At 37.4% G+C, this 21,323-nt stretch overlaps 1 protein-coding gene across 6 annotated transcripts in view, besides 1 other annotated feature; it reads left to right on the forward strand.

Moving 5' to 3' along the window:
- Window positions 1-21,323, forward strand: part of BMPR1B (bone morphogenetic protein receptor type 1B) — a 400,496-nt gene that overhangs the window by 143,218 nt on the left and 235,955 nt on the right. The gene's annotated exons all lie outside the window — the stretch shown is intronic.
- Window positions 15,351-15,852: an enhancer, noted in NCBI's record as "NANOG hESC enhancer chr4:95837674-95838175 (GRCh37/hg19 assembly coordinates)". NCBI's record gives its function as "activates a minimal SCP1, AML or CMV promoter by ChIP-STARR-seq in primed H9 embryonic stem cells {active_cell/tissue: H9 hESC(primed)}" and the evidence as "EXISTENCE:reporter gene assay evidence [ECO:0000049][PMID:30033119]".

The raw sequence follows: 21,323 nt of genomic DNA on the forward strand, positions 1-21,323 counted from the left end.
AATTGAGTGTTGTGACCTATTAATGGGGTCATGACATCAATATAGTGGGTTTCAACTAGCAAATACATAGATTAAAATACAGTAAAATCGAAAATATCAGAATGCCTCACCTGTAAGGATAAGCATTGTTTTGTGAAAATTTTGTTTAAATGGTGCAACATGATGTAAAATCTTCTAATAGGCTATTCTTAGATCTCAGTCAGAATAAGACTCCTTCCTTGTGGAGAAGGAGTGCCTAAAATATTGTTAGATCTTTGTTTTCAGATCTTGAGAGGGCCCGAGAGACCGGATGGCAGTTTATTACTGCTGGCAGTTGAGTGTGGTGAGAACATACAGAGAACGACCTTGAAGATTTAGACTATATTTAACATGACTGAGAGATATTCTTGACCATGTATTCACTTCCCTGAAATTGACTTAATCAGTTCAAAAGCTTGTCTATAACCTAGGAAATACAAATTAAAACAACAATGAAATATCCCTTTAAACCCGTCAAATTGGCAAAAAAATAGTTGATATCTGATATCTCCAAAGTTGGCCTGAATATGGCAGAAGAGGAATTCTTTTCTTTCTCTTGGGAAAGCAATTCGACAGTTCCCTGTAAAGCAGAAAATGTGTGTATCCTCTGACCCAACACTTCCATAGCTATGCATCTGCCCTGGAGGGACTCTTCTCCTGAACATGGGCAAGAACACTTGCACCAGAGTGTTCATTGTACTACTTGTATATGTGTGTGTACAAAATGGAGTATAGCAAAGATTAGACATATAGTCACATAGGTATATATTCATATGAAGATATATCTGATCTCTGCTATACATACTCTGGTTCATTTCAACAATAGACTGGTTAAGAGGGCTCTGCAGACTGCATGGTGTGTGTGTGTGTGTGTGTGTGTGTGTGTGTGTGTGTGTGGGGTGTATTTAAAGGAAACAACTTGACTATCCCTCTCTTGAGTAATTAATAACACACAAGTTTATGCTGCGAATATAGCAGTTGAAGTGAATGAATTATATTTATACCTGTATCAATGGAAATTCAATTCACACACACACACACACACACACACACACACACAGAGAGAGAGAGAGAGAGAGAGAGAGAGAGAGAGAGAGAGAGAGAAGATGGGGAAAAAAACAAACTGGAAATAATTCATGTAATATAATGCCATTTATGTAAAAGTTTGGCCCACAGAACACAATTGTGTCTGTTATATCTAGGCATTCACACATATTAAAACAAAAAACCTGAATGAAATTATATTCTGAAAATTATTTATCTCTAGAGAGGAAGAGAGTGAGAAGGATGATGGCAGCACTTAGTGGTAGTGTTTTAGCTATTATCTAGAACATTTTCTTTCTGACAAAAGTAAACATTCTGAAGCCTAAATAGCAAAATGTTAATATTTAGTAAATATTTCTGAATTTTTCTGTTTTTTTCTGAAGTATTAAACAGCTTAAGATATAGTCTGTTCTATACAAAGTAGAATCATTTAATCTTTGAGTTATTGCTTAATACATATGTTGGGAATTTCATATCTCTTTGAATATATTAAATTTAAAATTAACTTACTATTTTGAAGAAAGGACAAACTTTAAACCCTTGCAGTCTCCTTTGCTAATCTCTGCTGTACTCATCTTCACTTTAATGATGGAATGGTTGAGAGTGTAACCGGAAATGTTTTCTTTGTTTTGCTTATTCTCAATTCAGTCTCTGCAGACTACTGAATTCAATCTTGATGTTCTCCAAGTATGCTCTGTTCACTAGAACAGAAGCTCTGTGAGGGCTAGGTTTTGATCTCTGCTTCACCAGTGTGTAATGCTTGGCACATAGCAGGGTGCAGTAATATTTGTTGAATGAAGAAATAAATGGATAAAGAATGAGTGCTTTTTCATAGCCTGTTAGTTTATGTATGTAGCATGACTAAGTGCATATTATATGCAAAATAAAGTTATGGCATAGAAATTAATTAGATGCTTCTATATTAATCTGTTCCTTACTTGCCTTCTAGAACTTAGGGCAAAGTGTATTTTTCTGAACAAGTTTGTCAGCTACCTTTGTTTGAAAAGTAAGAATTCAATTTAACCCCTTACCCCCTTTTTTATCCCCGAGTCCCAGTTAGTTTAGTTAAGTTTAGTATTCGATCAGACAGAAAAGAATGAACTTATTATACTCCTGTCTCTATAGTGTCTATAGTTTCTGATTTCTGTGTTTGCTTTTGTTCTTGTTGCTGCTCTATTTAATTCTTAATCATGTAAATTGCCTCAAAAGTCTTTTTGAAAAAATAAGGACAAATTACTTCCATAAAAATTTATATTCTTGTAAAGTTGTATATTACTTACTTTTTTTTTTTTTAAAAAGACAATCTTTTAAGATGTTTCTGTGGTCCAGTATTTTTAAAAGAATTCGGTTATGAATTTTATACAGCAGATGCTTAGTGTTATGGGCTGAATTATATCCCTTATAATTTATACGTTGAAATTAAAATGTGATTGTATTTGGACATAGTGTCTTTAAGGAGGTGATTGGGTTTAAATGAAGTCATTGGGGGTAGGCCTTAATCCGGTATGACTGGTGTCCTTATAAGAAGAAGGTGTTAGGACACAGTAGAGAGGAAGGACCAGGTGAAAACACACAGAAAGGACAGCCATCTGCAATGCAAGGAGGGAGGCCTCAGAAGAAAGCAGCCCTGTGGACACCTTGATCCCAGACTTCCAGCCTCCAGAATAGTGAGCAAATAAATTGCTGTTCTTTAAGCCATCCAATGTGTGGTATTTGTCACAGCAGCCCTAGCAAACTAATACACTTAGTGAAGTGAATAAATATGTACACATCCCTCTTTTATTTTATAAACCTACATTTTAATAGACAGTAACATCTCCTTTATATCTTATGATGATATGGAATTCTTATTTTCAGGAAGTTAAAAAATTTCAAATGTGTATTCCATACAATAATACTTCATGTTTGTGTCATTCTTTATATTTTAAACAATTGGTACACATCATATCATTAGATAGCAATCTGACATCAATGATTTGCTGTAGAAATGCGTTCCGTTGCATAAGAACATTTCAATGTCTGTGTAGTCATATGACTTACAGATGCACTATAATAATAATAATTAATGCCTATAATAGTGACTTTGAAGTACTAATACCATTCAGGCACTTTGCCCTTTCAGCTAGATTTAATGTTAATGTTAGTCTGTTATTCTAAGAAGTGGTAAACAATATATATTAATGTGATAGCAGATAGGGATTCAGAATATTAAATTTGCTGAAATTACTTATCCCTTACTTAAGTTATTGGTGAATATTATTTATGGCATTGCTTTTGCAGTAATGAGCTGTGTTAGTTTTAATTCAGCCACCTCAGGTGATTTGTGAATTACCTGTAAGAGAAATCAAAGACTGTAAACCTTTGTTCAGTTGTGAAACATTCTTTTGCTTATTCTAAAATGAAAGATGTGCTAATCAATGATGAGCAACATAATTTTCTGTGGTAGCAATTGTGGAGGTAAGTTCTCTGAGGTTTTAAAATATATTACATTGTAAAAAACTTATATATGAAAAAGATTGGTTTTGAACCTACTCACTTTTTAGCATTGGCTTGCTTTATTCCACAACATAGTAAATGTCGAGAAAAACGAACTTGGAATATTGCACTCCTATCATTTGTTTTTCTTCATCATCCCTCAGCATTCTATGTGTATACTTTAAATGCCACAAGAAAATAAAAGCAGTATTTTATGAAATGGTCTGCCCTAAATTTTAAGGATTCTCTTTTCAATAACTCTGAGCTTTAAAAGTCTTGGAAGCTTTAAATAATTTCTATTTTTGGCAAACACCATGAGAATTGTTTTGGATAAATTATTTGAAAATAGATGTCTTCATTTAAGTCATATTCTGTTTGTGAATTCCTTTACAGATATTGTCCAAAGATGGGGAAAATTTTCTTTTAGTTTAAGATGATCAAGATGGTTAGAAAGGCATGATGAATTTCTTACCTGGCCTAATAGCATGAATTAATTTAAATGAATTTTCTTGCTTTTATTCAAAAAATAGCAAATTATGTTTTATTTTTCACTGGACTGCTTTAGACAGGCATAGCAAATATCCCAATTTAAATTTTATCTAGAACATGTAGACCTTATTGCCATTTGGTATTGCTTCTGTAGTGAAGACAACTGATTACTAATGCAAACAGTAATGGCTAACAATTTGAAAACTATAGTTTTTATAATTAGCTTATAGTTTAAAAACAGCTCTTAATAACTGAATATTTTTTACAGCTTAATCAGTGAAAAATAATCTATATTTTCTGTCAAGTTGAGTTTTATGAAAATAAGGCTTTTTAAGGCTTTTTTTGACTACTCAGATCTTACATTTACATAATGTTCTTTAAACATTTTCCCTTTTAATAAATTTCATTATGTATTGTACCCCAAAGACACCGGCTGTCATTGGGATTTTGTTGCACGTTCTGCATTCCTTTGCATAGCCTGGCAGCTGTGATACTCAGGACGTCTCACACAGGATGCCTGCCTACCTCTGGCTTCTATGGCTTAACTAGAGGCTAACTTTATCACTGCTGGGCTTGTGGTGGGCAGGACAGTATCCCTGTCTCTCTGATTTTCTTTGCATTTACTTCTTTATCTTGATGGAAAATTTGGAACTTTTACTAAGAGAACAGTGATGTATTTTAACATTTAAATAGTGGAATTCTTCTTTTGTTTATTCTTTTTTTTTTTTTTGTCACGAATAGACATTTATTTTCCTTTAGGAAAATATCAAGCTACAAAGGAGTAATTAATGGATAATAAGATGAACAAAGTAATGATGATTTTAAAGAAGTATTTCTAAGGTTTGTTCTGTTTTTGTCAAGGAGACTCCTAGTTCCTGCTCAGCCAAGATTTTTCTTCTGTGAATAGTGTTTGGATATAATTCACATTATCTCCAATGACTCTACTTTTTCCTGGCTGCTAAAGATAAATAGCTCCTTAGATTGATATTTTCTTTCTGTTGATATATTGGGTAAGTCAGCCAGTTTAGAGTTAAGTCTAGTTGATTTGAAAATCTGTATGGGTACATGCCTTGAAAATGCCCTTGGAGACCAAATTAAAATTAAAACCATTTTTTGTTTTGCATGGTACTTATTACTTTTGTTATGTCAAAAGCGCAGTCTGAATACTGATGCATTTCAGACCACACATTTATTCGTGTCTTATATGGGGAAAAAACAAACACATAAAGTATTCACTCTTAAGGGGCAACAGCCCTAAAGTAAAAACATTTTATGACTGGCCAGTAGTCTTCCTGACTGTTCATTTATGAAAGATGCATCCTTTCCAAATACCTAATGCATGTGGGGCTTAAAACCTAGATGATGGGTTGACGGGTGCAGCAAACCACCATGACACATATATACCTATGTAACAAACCAGCACGTTCTGCACATATATCCCAGACCTTAAAGTATAATAATAATAGAAAAAGAAAGATGCATCCTTTCATTTTGTATCTCCTTGGCCTGATAGATTGTTGAAGTAAACACTTGAAGACAATCATATATTTAGGGTAGTGAAGACTACTGATTACTAATGCAAAGAGTAATTAGCTAACAGTTTGAAAACTATAGTTTTTATAATTAGCTTATAGTTTAAAAACAGTTCCTAATGACTATGAATAACTCATAATTTTGGCTCCTTAACACAAACAAGATCATTTATATTATAACTATTATAATTGAGTTAATTTATGGGTTTTGTAGAGCAACTCTTGGATTATCTCTCTGTAGGGATTATTCTTCCTGTCTCCATATAGATATCTCAGAATGTTTCATTGCTATCACTTTTGAGTACTTCTCAGCATAAATGTGTACATCACAGTTCTCAGCTTCAGATCAGTAACTGTGGGATGTGCAATAGAACAATCAGAATGCACATGCCTATGCTTTATCCTAGATGTGTTACTTTAGAATTTTGGAGGTGGTAGCTGGATAAGTGCATCGTGGAAAAGCTTCTCAGTGTATTCTGACACACTCCTTTCATGAAGAGGCATTGACTATACCATAAACCCTAGAAATACGTCATTGGCAATGCTACTGTTTTAAAGGAGAGAAAGGCATCTTTTTGTTTTTGACCCAGAATGGCATTGCCTATAACAGGTGAAAGGGAATCATGCTATGTTAACAGGAATCAACATTATCCATTTTTGAAGAGTTCATTAAACAGGCAATATTTATTTGGTTGTCTGTTCTATGTTAGGAGCTTTCAGTTCAGCACTCAGGCAGCAAATAAGGTAATGCCTGTGCATATGCTCGGTCCTTTCTGTCTGTCCAAAGCTCCTCTCTTCTCCATTCCCCTTTTGCCTCAGTAACTCGTCTATTAAGATGTAAATCAAGAAATGCCTTCTGTCTCAGGGAAGCCCTTACCAGAACCTCTAGGTAGAGTTAGAGGCTAACTCCACGGCACCCTAGAGTCCATAGCATGTTGTTATCATGTGTGTATCGTTGCATGTAAAAATATTCCTATTTGTTACGGTTTGCTTGTATGTGTTTGTCATTAATCTATTAATTCATTCAGTGAAGAGATGCCAACTTGTATACTAGCCTGGGAAACCTCTGTGTCCTCAGTGCCTAATTTAATACTCCTTTTTCTATCTAGTAGTAAAATGAATATGAATGTACATGTCTGAGGTCTCTATAAATTAAAAGGTAAAAAGTCTTAAGCCAGGTGTGGTGGCATGCACCTGTATTCGCAGATATTTGGGAGGTTGAGGTGGGAGCATTGCTTGAGGCCAGAAGTTTGAGGCTGTAGTGTGCAATGCTCTTACCTGTGAATAGCCATGGCCCTCCAACATGGGCAATGCAGTGAGACCCTGTCTTTAAAAAAAAAAAAAAAAAAAAAAAAAAAAAGAAAAAACAAAAAAAAGTAAAGGTCTTGGGGAAGGGTCCACAGCAAATAAGTAGAGGAAATTTGAGCTGTTGTTGCCCTGTAACAGGAGACAAGAAGATATTTTTCATAAGAATTGCACTTTCTACACTGAATTAGAAGGTTCGATAGTATGTCAGAATTATGGAATTTTGTAAGGGTAAATTTAACATATTAGTTAGTGTGTATGTGTCTGATATTTTATACATCACATTTGAAATTGTTTTTTTTTTGGTTCCTATTAATTCATTCAGTAAGCATTGTTTAAACCTGTCCTTCTTAAACTTTATTTTTGCATGATCTCTGTGATGCTCTTCTCTCCTGGTTATCTTTCTTCTCTCAGTGGCCCCGTCTCTTGTGCTTGCTTTTCATCCTAAACTTCTAAGCAGTAGAGCTTCTTAAGGTTTTATTCCTATCAACATCTCTTCTTTTTCTACATCAATGATCTGTAATATCACCCTTTTTTAAGGGTCTCTGTACCATCTTTATATTAATGATTCCCCAGTTTTTAATCAGCTTCAATCCTTTTATTATAGAGAGTAATTAATTTCAAATACTCGGTCATGAAGAAAGGGTAGACTGATAGGTATCTGCAGCTGAAGACAGGACTTTTCATCAAATCCAATGGTGGCTCATTAAAGCATTCACCGAAGTCAGATATCTTCTCTTTAAAAACATTATAAAAACCCTTATCTTTTGCTTGAATAATGTCTCCGTGTTCATAGTTCTTATCGACTCTTCATGACCTTACTCTGTGTCACTGTCCTAGGACTGCCGTAAGAAATTACTACAAACTTGGTGTCTTAAAACAACAGAAAATAATTTTCCTCACCATTCTGAAGACCAGAAGTCTGAAATGAAGGTGTTGGCAGGGCCATACTCCCTCTAAAAGTGCTAGGAAAGAATCCTTTCTTGCCTTTTCCCAGCTTCTGGTAGCTCCTGGTGATCACTGGTGGTGTTTGGTTTGTGGCTGCATCACTCCAGTCTCTGCTTTCACATGGCTTTCTTTATGTATATTTCTGTGTGTCCTCTCCTCTTAAGGACAGCAGTCATTGAATGTAGGGCCCATTCTAATCCAGTATGACCTCATCTTAATGAATTAAGTCTGGGAATATAATTATGTCTGGGAATATAATAGAGAAGACTCTATTTCCTGTGTTCTGGGTGAGTATGAACTTTTGGGGGATACTAACTTACTATATACTCACTAGGTTAATCTATGCTAAATACCCAACAGGAAGGCAGCTGTAGGGAAAAGCAAGAGTATGAAACCTGGAAAAACAATTGCCAGACTCTGCTGCTTGTGGGTATGTGGCCGTGGGTAAGGTAGTTGCTCTGTGCTTTCAGCTTCCTCATGTACAAAATTGAGATAATAATGATGCCCACTTTGTGGAATTCTTGTAAAGATGAAAAGATTCCAAATATGTAAAGTGCATAGAACAATCCCCAGCAAAAAGTGGAACATGTTAGTGATAATTGCTGTCATAGTCGGTCTTCTTGCTTAGTAGGCCTGAGATAAAACTTTCTCCTATTTCATCCCTCCTCCTCCCTCTTCCTGATTTTACATGTTATTTAGTTGTTTCTCCCTCTCACTATAATTATTTGTGAGAAGTTACAAGAGTTATACTATGGTAGAGCAGACAGGCTTTGCACACCTTCAGGGTCAGTTCTGGACCAAACCACTCAGAAACCACTGCACGGATGAATGGCTGGAGATTGTGGGGCCTATTGTGTCTCCAGGTGGCTGTGGTTACATGGGATCCCTGGAATGTTAATTAATTTTCATATTTCCCTTTAAGGTACTTCTGTGGCTCAAACAATGAATTTCTGAGTTAGGTCCCAAAGTGGCATTTTTGTTTGCCAACACCCTCATAGGAAACTGTATTAGAAGCTTTCTTGTAATATTTAAGAGCCTTTAAAAGAGCGAGACTCCGTCTCCAAAAAAAACAAAAAAAAAGAGCCTTTAAAAGACATTCTAGATACGTAAAGTTAGTTTAAAATCTGTTCTGAAGGCTAGCACTGGAGCCTTTGCTGACATCTTCACACTAAAGATTCTGAGATTACTTTTAGGTTGTGTGCCTTGCAACACTAAGGTAGATTTATTGCAACTAAGGGGCCCTGAGGTAAGCCAACATATTCTCATCTTTCTTCTGAAAACCTTTTGGCCTCATTAGAAGTATTTGGCTTTAAAGTTTGCCTCATTTTATATTATCCCATGCAATATTTTTTCCTCTCAGAATTAGAGGAAAAAATACACCATGTCTCAGGTGATAGTAGTGCTTGGCACTTACCTAGGGACTCCAGATGTATTCATTGAAGTAGATTGAAGTCTCTTGAATTCTTTCCTGCTATTAGAGAGCAATGGCAAAAAGCAAGATTCAATCTAGCTAAGTAATTTATAAGATAAGCTAAGTAACATAAGTTTGGATGTTCAGTATAATTTGTCAATGTGTGCTTTTTAGGCATAGTTGCTTATTTCTATTGTACCGTGAAATTAAACTACAATATTAAAAATTTCAGGCCAGGTATGGTGGCTTATGCCTGTAATCCCAGTACTTTGAGAGGCCCAGGCAGGAGAATCACTTGAGGCCAGAAGTTTGAGACCAGCCTAGGCAACATAGCGAGACCCCCATCTCTAAAAAAATAAAAATAAAATAATTAGCCAGGCATAGTGGCACACCTGTAGTCTCAGCTGCTCAGGAGGCGGAGGCAGGAGGATTGCTTGAGCCCAGGAGTTTGAGGTTATAGAGAGCTGTGATGGTGCCACTGAACTCTAGTCTGGGGAACAGAAAGAGACCCTGTCTTTTCCCACTCCCCCCAAAATTGAGACAATTCAGTTTAAAAATCCTTATGAATAAAAAAGGACTTATTAAATTGACTCACCCAGTACTTACGTGAACCACATATACTGTACTATGCTTTCACTTCTTTGACCTATTTTTTTGGATATTTGATACATACTAATGTATTCATAAAAACTATTCTAGTTTCTTCTCTTTGTACAGTGGGATGAGCTGAGGAAAACTACTCATTCATTCATTGATTCACAAAAGTTTAAAGTCTAAATATTACTGGCTTTGTGCCAGACTGAGGATACAGAGATGAGTGAAACTCAATCTTAGTGAATCTGGAAGAGGGAATTGATGTATAAACCATTAAATTAAAACATAGTGTGAAAAGGGCAAGACATAGCAATTATTAACTTTATCTAGAAGTCAATGTGGGGAGAAGTGTGCTGCCAGGTGGTAATGCCTGAGCTGTGTTTTAAAACATAGAAGAAGCTTGTTGGCTGACAGGAACAGAGGGGAAGAAAGCCAGCGAGATCTTCTCAGATACCATGGCTTCACAAGATACAGTGTATTTAAGAACTACAAGCAACTTGATTTTCCCAGAGTTTGCAGTACATGGGCTTTATGTTTCCGGGAGTCCTCTAGTAGCTGTGGTCTTCAGTGTGGTTTCTGGAAATTCAGAAAATTTTACTGACCTCATGATATGTTCCAAATCATTTGAAGAGATAATATAATATACTATGAAGTTAATGATCATTTGCACAAGTGAATGTAAATTAAGCCGTGATAACTGATATCTCAAAGTTGGAGATATTACAATCAGTATTTTCAACCTTCTTTCTGCTTCAGTACATCTAAGGTATATAAAGCACTCTTGTTAGTAATGGTGGCTCCCCATGGCAATAACTCTTGATCATGGGCAGTGGTATAGGAGTAGGCCCAATTTGTGTATTTGCTAAGGTCAATCTAGTTTCTATAGCAGATATATCTCCACATATAAGTGGATTAACACACTGTATTAGCCCTTTTTCATGCTGCTTATAAAGATATACCCGAGACTGGGCAATTTACAAAAGAAAGAGGTTTAATTGGACTTACAGTTCCATGTGGCTAGGGGAGCCTCACAATCATGGTGGAAGGCAATGAAGAGCACATCCTGTCTTACATGGATGGCAGCAGACAAAGAGGGAATGAGGAAGGTACAAAAGTGGAAACTGTTAGATCTCGTGAGACTTATTCACTATCATGAGAACAGTATGGGGGAAAGCACCCCCATGATTGAATTATCTCCCACCGGGTCCCTCCAACAACATATGGGAATTATGGGAGTACAATTCAAGATGAGATTTGGGTGGGGACACAGAGCCAAACCATATCACACAATAAATATCTGTTTTCTCATTTAAGTAAAGTACAAAGTGGAAGCTTTTTACTGATAAGAGGGTATGAGGTGGGTGGAGGTTAGATTGGAGGGGAGTGGGCCTGGCTCCATGTTTTGCTCAGAGATTCAAGCTGATAGACACTCCACTTTCTTCATCAAGTAGCTTTAAAAGTTGCCTTGGGTGTTCCCAGCAAAGTGGGATATGGGGAAAGAGAGAATGGAGGAGGTCCATCTGCTTTTTACCTAAGTTTAGAAGTGACATACATAACCTTTGCTCATGTCTCCTTGGTGAGAATCAGCCAGGAGGTCCCACCTAAATGCAAAGGAAGATGGGAAATGTGGTCTTTCCGAACAACAGTTCAGCTCTATAGAAGGTGACCACAACACAGCCAGCTGCCTCTGTAGCCAAGGCTTTTTAGACTCTCCAGAGGGAGTGAGGGGTATGGGAATAATAGGTAGCTGAGAAAGCCTCACAGGTGATTCTGGTATGTGCTCTTAGGGAGGGCACTTTTCTCTCTTCAGCTGATTTGAGTGTTATTACAACTAGCCGTATCTCTTCCTGTGTAGATACAGATCAGAAAATTTAGGGAGGGTAAGTTGGAGGCAGAATTAAATGTAAAACTTGGATTCATTCTTTCATGTACACCATTCTGATTTTCCTTCATTTCTAGCTGTCATGGTGTGCTGCTTTTTTTTTCCAGCCAATTTTCAATGTCAGTTTTTGTTAAAATTGTTTAAAATTCTTAAAACTCCCAGGAAATTATAACTTTTAAATACATTTTAAGCTTTATATTGCTTTTGGAAGAGGTGACACAATCCTCAGATTGATGAATATTTGATGTAATTTTTTATTTGAGTAAAATTTTATTGAAGAGTCTATTATGAAATAATTTTCAAGTGGGCAACATATATGTATAGTGTAGCTCATAGGTGGAGATTAAGCATATTTTCTGCTTTTTATCTCTTTCAACAACAAATGCTGTGAGGTTTACATTATTAGCTTATAACCTTATGTAAGTGGTGTTAACGAGACTTAAGATTAACAGCAACAACAGCAAAAACTCTTGGAAAGAGATTAAGAATTTCTGCCACCACTGATAGTTTTTTGATTTTGAAAAAGTCACTTCCTTTTGTTAATCATTGTAAAGATTGAAACTATTGCGGTAAACAGGATGCTTAGTGTGACAGTTTGAACCACAAATTTTTAGTCCTCTTTGTCATTTGATTTAAATATCTAAACTTTGCTTTGCTTTCTCCAGAGGCTCTGCTAAAGAATGGCAAGTGATATACCAAGCACTGTGTGGAGTCTCAGAAGGTGATTTCTGGTCATTGTTCCATTGTATTCATGCTTATTCTTACTAATTAATTATCTCTGTGTGTGTGTGTGTGTAGCCTACAATGTTTCAGGCTCTGTGATAAGCCAGGTGGTGGATGAGGGGTACAAAAAGACATAATCCCTATTCTCACAAAGTTTATGTTTCAGTGAAGCATCATTCAATTGAACTTTTGTGATGGTGGAAATGTGTGTCTATCTGTACTGTTCATCATCATAGCCACTAGCCATGTGTGGCTATTGAGCTTTTGAAATCTAGCTAGTGCTGCTAAGGAACTGAATTATTATTTAATTTGAATTCATTTAAATGTAAATAGCTACACTTGGCTGGTGGCTATCTTATTGGATAGGGTAGGTCCTATGGAAATACAGACATTATTCAAATAATCATGGTAAAACTGTGAAATTTCAAGTCTAACAAGTGATAGGAAGGAGGTAGATAAAATGCTTTGAGCACCTATAGAGGTTTATTTCACTAATACAGGCAGGTCATTAAAAGCTTAAGTTTGAGTGGTAGAGATGGGGAGAAGTGGACAAATTTGAAGGATAGAGTAGAAAATGGACAGGATCTGGCAATTGTTTTGAAAAAATGTTGTGCAGCTAGGTGGTCTCGAAGATGCCTTCTAGATTTCTTGCTTGTAAAACTGAAGAGATGAGGCCTACCCACTAAGAGAGAGAACACTGATAAAGGACCAGATTTACGGGTGAAGCAAATGAGTTTGGTTTTGTAATATTGGGTTGGAATATATAGGCCTTGAAGAGAGATTTGGGCTGGACATAGACAGCTAGTAATTGAAGCTATAAACAAGGATGAAAGAGTATTAATTGAGTGATCAGAGTCACTCTGAAAGTGAGTCACTTAGAGTATTAATTGAGTGATCAGAGGGCCAGTAATAAGCTGAGGAACTGCAGTGCTTAATGGTGAGTATGCATGCAAAGGAAGGATAAGAATTACGGATTCTGAGGGAGTTGAGGAATCACTGAACTTAAGGTTCTAATGAAGTCAAAGAATGGTTTTAGTGGATACAGTTGAATGAGGAGGCTGGGAGGAGAAAGGGTGGTGGTTTCTTTATGATAGTTGGATAAGTAAATTTTGAGATGAAATATTTGGTGGTGATCATAATATTCAGGAGTCAATTAGGGAAATGGGTGACCGACATACAGGTGGTCACTGGAGATTAGGGGACTGTGAGACCATATAGATTAATAAAGTGAAAACATTTCATCTCATTTTGACTAAGTAGTCAACAACTCTCTCTCCTGTTAGAATTGTAAGCTATTGATATGAATGCTATAATATGCATATATTTAAGTAGTAATACCTTATATGAAACTCACTTGTTATGGTGCATAATAAAGCTGATGATCACGCAATACCTCAGGAAAATTTTGATCATTCAGAATTTGCAGGTTTGCTATAGAAGATCATTTGAAAATGATTAAAGATGATTTATCCCATTATTTAAAAAATGTATATGACCTCCTCAACCTTGACAGGTACCAATAATAAATGCCTTGAATTTTGCATGTGTGACATTAAAGGTATTATCACAGATTAAATCACCTTTCCATGCTTTGAAATCTTTAAAGCTGAATATTTGATCACTCATCTTTCATTACCATTGATTATTTCTAGCTGCCCTTACATTTTTTTCTTCTTTGTTTTTTATAATTAACTAAAACCACAACCTGGAAAGAACATGAGTTATTTGAATCTTGTTTTGAAAAAGCCATTGAAGTTTTAATACCTGCAGGGAAACAGATAGTTATCAAAACCATTTGGAATCACTCTCTCTGAACCAATTCTCACCCCTCCTCCCATGCTTACATAACAGCACACATAAATTGACTTTTCTAGTTTGGGCCAAGTTGTTAAATATAATTCTCAAATTATTTTAAACATAGTTTGAACAAAAGTGTTCAATTGGACAGATGTTTCATCTTTTCTGTAATAATACTTCCTCTTTAAAAATGTTTTTGAAATCGACACAATTAACATAATGAAGATATTACTATAAAGGAATGATATACATGAAAATACCAATTTTTAGGTATGATTTATTTGATTATTTCTAGCCCTTCATAGTTGCCGCTTGTTTGTGTATGTGTACAATCACGTTTGGTCATCCTACCAATAATTCCACAAATAATCACAAAAGCTTTAATATAGTTTGGATATTTGTTTCTGCCCAAATCTCATGTTGAATTGTAATCCCCAATGCTGGAGGCTGGGCCTAGTGGGAGGTGTTTCAGTTATGGGGTCAGATCCCTCATGGCTTGATGCCGTCTTCACAATAGTGAGTGCTCGGGAGATCTGGTCATTTAAAAGTGTGTGGCACCTCCTTTCTCAGCCTCTTCCTACTTTTGCCACGTGACATGCTTGCTCCCATTTTGCCTTTTGCCATCAGTAAAAGCTCCCTGAGGCCTCCCAAGAAGTCAAGCAAGTGCCAGACCCACACTTTCTGTATAGCCTGCAGGACCATGAGCTGGTTAAACCTCTTTTCTTTGTAAATTACCCAGTCTTAAGTATTTCTTTATTGCAATACAGGAACAACCCAATACAAAGAATTTGTACTGAGGAGTTAGGCATTACTAAAAGATAACTGAAAATGTGGAAGCAGCTTTGGAACTGGGTAAGGGGCAGAGGTTGGAAGAATTTGGAGGACTCAGAAGAAGATAGGAAAATGAAGGAAAATTTGGGATTTCTTAGAGATTAGTTAAATGATGGTGACCAAAATGCTGATAGTGATATGTACAGTGAAGGCCAGGCTGCCGAGGTCTCAAATGGAAATGAGGAACTTACTGGGAACTGGACCAAAGGTCATGTGTGTTATGCCTTAGCAAAGAACTTGGCTGCATTCTATTCATGCCCTAGGGAACTGTGGAAGTTTGAACTTAGGAGTGATGACCTAGGGTATCTGAAAGTAGAAATTTCTAAGCAGCAAAGTGTTCACCATGTGGCCTGGCTGCTTCTAACAACCTACACTCAGATGCAGGAGCAAAGAAATGACTTAAAATTGGAATTTATATTTCAACAGGAAGCAGAGCATAAAAGTTTGGAAAATTTGTAGCTTAGCCATGTAGCAGAGAAAGTAAAAGCTTATTTGGAAGAAGAATTCAAGCAGGCTGCATAGCAACCACTTGGGAGAGAAATTTGCATAACAAAAAAGCCAAGTGCCCATATCCAAGACAGTGGGGAAAAGGCCTCTAAGGCATTTCAGAGACCTTAGCCCCAGCCCTGGCCATCACAGGCTCAGAGGCCTGGGAGGGAAGAATGGTTTCGTGGGACAGGCCCAGGGACCTGCTGCCCTGTGCAGCCTTGGGACATTGCTCCCTATATCCTGGCTGATCTGGCAGCCATGTCTCAAAGGGGCCTAGGTATAGCTTGGGCTGCCACTTTGGAGAATGCAAGCCATAAGCCTTGCCTGCTTCCATGTGGTGTTAAGCCTGTAGGTGCCCAGAACGAAAGAGTGAAGAATGCTTGGCAGCCTCTGCCTATATTTCAGAGGATATATGAGAAAGCCTGGATGTCCAGGCAGAGGCCTGCTACAGGGGTGGAACCCTTACAGAGAACCACTGTTAGGATGGTGCTGAGGGGAAATCTGAGGCTGGAGCCCCCACACAGCATTCCCAGTGGGGCACTGTCTAGTGAGACTGTAAGAAGGGGGCTGCTCTCCTCCAGACCACAGAATGGTAGATCCACTGGCAGCTTGCACCCTGTGCCTGGAAAAGCCAGAGGCATTTAACTTCAACCTGTGAGAGCAGCCATGGGGGCCGAACCCTGCAAAGCCACAGGGGTGGAGCTTCCCAAAGCCTTGAGAGCCCACCTCTTGCAGCAGTGTGCCCTGGATGTGAGAAATGGAGTCAAAGGAGGTTATTTTGGAGCTTTAAGATTTAACGACTGCCCTGCTGGGTTTCTGACTTCAGTGGGGTCTGTAGCCTCTTTCTTTTGGCCAGTCTCTCCCCTTTAGAATGGTAGTGTTTACTCAATGCCTGTATCCCCATATTATCTTGGAAGTAAATAACTTGTTTTTGATTTTACAGGCTCGTAGGCAGAAGGGCTTTGCCTTATCTCAGATGAGACTTCAGACTGTGGATTTTTGAGTTAGTGCTGGAATGAGTTAAGACTGTTGGGAAGGCATGATTATATTTTGCAGTGTGAGGAGGACATGAAATTTGGGAAGGGCCAGGGCGGAATAATACAGTTTGGATATTTGTCCTCACCTAACTCTCATTAGTGCTGGAGGTGAGACCTGGTGGGAGGAGTTTGGATCATGGGGGCTGACCCCTCATGACTTGATGCTGTCTTCCTGATAGTGAGTTCTTGTGGGATCTGGTCATTTAAAAGTGTGTGGCACTTCCCTCCTCACTCTCTTTCTCCTGCTTGCACCATGTGACATGCCTGCTCCTGCTTCACCTTCTGCCATGAGTAAAAGTTCCCTGAGGCCTCCCTAGAAGCCTTTCAGATGCCAGAGCATGGGTCTTGTACAGCTGGCAGAACTATGAGCCAGTTAAATCTCTTTTTTTAGTATTATCTAGTCTCTAGTATTTCTTTATAGCAAGAAATACAAGTTTTTTTTCAATTAAATTATGATGGAATGAAGGTTTTTATTCTCTAATTTTTCTCAGACTTAAGTCTTGAGGCAGTTCTATTAAAATCAAACAAGTATACATACATCACACTGCATTAATACATTTTCATTATTCTCATGTGTATCCTCATTTTAAATGGCAAATGTAGCAATAGAATTGTTTTATTCATTGTTACAAAGAAATGCAACTTCTGGATGGGTGCAGTGACTCATGCCTGTAGTCTCAGCACTTTTGGAGGCTGAAGTGTGAAGATCACTTGAGTCTAGGAGTTTGAGACCAGCCTGGACAACATAGAAAGGCCCTATCTCTGCAAAAATTAAAAAATTAGCCAGGCAGTGTGGCACACGCCTGTAGTCCTAGCTACACAGGAGACTGAGGCAGGAGGATCCCTTGAGCCCAGGAGTTTGAGGCTGCAGTGAGCTGTGATTACATAACTGCACTCTAGTTTTCCAGCCTGGGCAACAGAGTAAGACACTGTTTAAAAAAAAAAAAATGAAGCTTCTATCTTTAAACTTCCTTTCCTTTTGAACTCAATCTGCTGAGTAAGCTATTTTTGGTTAGTTAATTCTCTTTAGTGTAACTATTTCATCTTTATTTTTGATTTAACCCTGCCTATATTACTCTTATTATATGGCATTGGTACCTGTCACAGGGAACTTACTTCTCCTGTGTCAGTGGGTCCATTCAGTGTTCCCTCCATTATTTTATTTATTTATTTATTTTTTGCTGTTGGGAACCTGGCTTTATACAAAGTTTAAACATGTGTCTGCTGAGGAGTGATGGGTTCTTCCTAGTCATTTGGGTCACATGTAGGTATTTATATTGAATCCCACAATCCCAGCTGTTTGCCTTTAATGTTGAAGATCTTATAACGTGATGCATCATGTTATTTCTTCTTCTTGTTTCGAGGCCTCTGCTACCCCACCAACTCTTTCAACATGGCTGTACCTTTCAGTGTTATGTTCTGAATCTCTTGCAAGCCACACCCAAGTCATCCATACGCAGACGTGCACTGCCTTAAGTATATTTAACTGTCACCAGCCTTTTCCACGATGCATTATATTCCCTTGTCATATAGGATATGGATTTGAGCTGAGAGTTGGCCTTCTCTTAGAGCAATTGCTCTCAAACTTTTATGACTAGTAATTATGGTAAGAAGTACATTTAAAATTATAATCCAACATGGATGCTCTTGTATATACACCTAACAAACAAAGGCTTCACAAACCAATACTTATCCTTGCTACTTGGAATACAATGTGATATTTTCTACACTAGTAGTAAATTTTAAAAACTGGACGTTTTGACAGAGACACCTCATTACTACCCCCTTTATCCACCCCCTCAACCCACCCAAGAAATGGTTTAAGCCAGACTGTAGAGTTTGAGAAGTCACTAAAACTTGATCTCCTTGCTCTGCATCTGTCTTTTCTTCTCATACTCTCCCGTGGCCACAAGGAGCAGGCCTTCTTTCTTCCTGCATGCCAGGGCTTCCCTTTTCATCATAGGCTGAGCCTTTTCTATATTATGGGCAAAGTCTATGATCCAGCTCTTGATATGGGAATGGGGAACTACCAAGAAAAATAAATTTTCTAAAAATGTTATACCCAAGATGATGATTTAAGTCATGTTTTTCTATTAGGAGATTCTCCTAAATCATTTTGTTTCTACTCTGGAAAATACTGATGAATAAAAGTGGGGACAGTGTCGTCATTTTTCTATCATATTCTTTATTCTGTTGTTTGAAAGTAATTGTCTTTCAATTGTTCGTGAATATTAATAATTCTCCTTTTTATTGGATTATGGTGCCTCTAGTGTTAAAAGTATTTTCTTGCAAGTTTTCGTTGTCTGGGTTCATAATTTTGAGGAGATTCTTCAAACAGTGCTTTATATGATATTTAAAAATGGATATGGTAAGTATTGAATAAAAAAGAAAAGGGATGTTAATTGTACTTTTTATACTGGTTATGTGGCATTTTGACAAATTCTTTTAAATTAAAACTACAAACAAAACTACTTTTCCCATATGCAAGGAAATCTCTCTTCATACAGAACAGTTATTTCAATTTCTTTTACAAAGAAAATATTGCCTAGAATTTTTATTCTTTTATTACTTTCTGATTCTTTTTATTGAAATGCTTATTGTCTCTTGTTAATTAATTATATTAATTATACAGCTAGTGCTCAGTTTCTCAACCTTTTCCAAAAGAAGTCCCCGGTTTCCATTAAAGAGTTTTATGGGGGCTCCCCACACGTCAAATTTCACACAGCCGGCTACATTGGCTTTTTGCAAAGGTCTTTGAATGCAATGCCAAGGCCTCCCACTAATTGTTTTATGGGCTCAGTGTGGGATCTGCATCCCTGACTGGGGAAGCCCCATGTTAAAGGACTGTGGGAGTGAGGAGTTGTCAAACACACCAAGAGCGAGTACTAAAAAAAGTCCTGGTTAGCTGTAATGTTGCTGCCAAGGAGCATAAGCAGAACCACAAAACATGCCACATGCTGGCTGATTTTAAATAGTGACCCCTATTTCAGAGAATACTCACTTCATTACATTTTTGGGAGAAATTCAAATCACAAATAGCTACATAATTAATTTGAGTGCTCACTTCAAGCTTTGGCATTGGTAAATTATTGTTTTCCAAGTGGCTAAAAAGATACAACTAACTAAATATTTTTATGTGTTCTTTCAAGGAGACCAAACTCATCCTGGTTATCTGTGAACATTTAGTCCTGGAATAATATGTTCAAAGTTGTATGCTTATCTTTTTTCTTCCGAGAAGATTAAGGAAGTATGTTTTTACCCATTTTAACCATTAAATTGCATGTACCCACACTAATAAAAGTAACTTTTTCTGAACTTTAACAAAGAGCTGTAGTGGTAGCATTAAGACTCCTACACCCTCACTAGGCCTTGACATTGATTTTTCTCAGCCTCACGGAATCTGCTTGGCGTTTTGAACCTGTCTTTCCTCCAGATATTGAAACAGGATATTTTTGAGGTACAATATGACCTCAGAGTGCACTGTTAGCTTGGCTAATATTGATACGTGAACAGAATTATTACAGCCACACTTCAAGAGGCCTAGAATAGTAATACTGTATTCTATAGGAAGACAAGTGCATTACTCAGTTCTTGCATTGCTAGAAAGAAATGCCTGAGACTGGGTAATTTATAAATAAGAGGTTTAATTGGCTCACAGTTGTGCAGGCTCTACAGGAAACGTAGCTCCAGCATCTGCTTGGCTTTTGGAGAGGCCTCAGGGAGCTTTTATCTGTGGTGGAAGGCAAAGTGGGAGAAGGCCAGTCACATGGTGAAAGCAGGACCAAGACAGAGGAATGGGGGGAGGTACTCCACACTTTTAAACAACCGCATCTCATGAGAACTCACCCACATTCATGAGGACAGCATCAAGAAGATGGTGCTAAACCATTCAAGAGAAACCTGCCCCCTTGATCCACTCATCTCCCACCAGGCCCCATCTCCAATATTAGGCATTATAATTCAAAATGAGATTTGGTGGGGGCACAGATCCAATTATATCAATAAATACAACCTATTTCACTGCAGGATTGTAGCATTAAAATGAAATGACATATTGATATTTTTGTGAATTTTGAAGTATCTTTTTAGAAGTTGATGGAGAAAGAGTCCTTTTTTTGTAATCTAAATATGTTCATCTTTAAAAGAAGATCCTAATATTTTAGATAAATAATCTTGGATTAGCAATTTTTCTGAAAAAAAAAATTCTCATTTTGTTAGCATGTTTTCTTTCCTTTTTTGTTGGCTGGGGAGGGGCAGAGCCTTGCTCTGTCACCCAGGCTGGAGTGCAGCAACACAATTACTGCAGCCTCGACCTTCTGGGTTCAATCTATCCTTCCACCTCAGCCTCCCAAGTAGCTGGGATTACAGGCATGCAGCCCCATACCCTCTTAATTTCTTTTTTCTTATGTAGAGAAGGGAGTCTTCCAGTGTTGCCCCATCTGGTATTGAACTCCTGGGCTCAAGCAGTCCTCCTACCTTGGCCTCCCAAAATGCTGGGATTACAGGCATGAGTCATTGTGCCTGGCCTAGCACTTTTCTTATATGTGTGTGTAACATGTGGATACCTCTTGTGGGACGTGTGCGTGTGTGTATGAGAGAGAGACTGAGAGATGCCTATATGTCATTCTCATTCTATTGTGCTGTCAACACAATAGCAATGTTTAATGGATAAAGCAAACCACAAATAAAACATTATGTATATAAAGTGCAAAATTAGTTTCGTTTTGCAGACTACAGAAATTAATTTC

This window comes from Homo sapiens, chromosome 4 (genome assembly GCF_000001405.40).
Source record: "Homo sapiens chromosome 4, GRCh38.p14 Primary Assembly".
Classification (NCBI taxonomy): domain Eukaryota; kingdom Metazoa; phylum Chordata; class Mammalia; order Primates; family Hominidae; genus Homo; species Homo sapiens.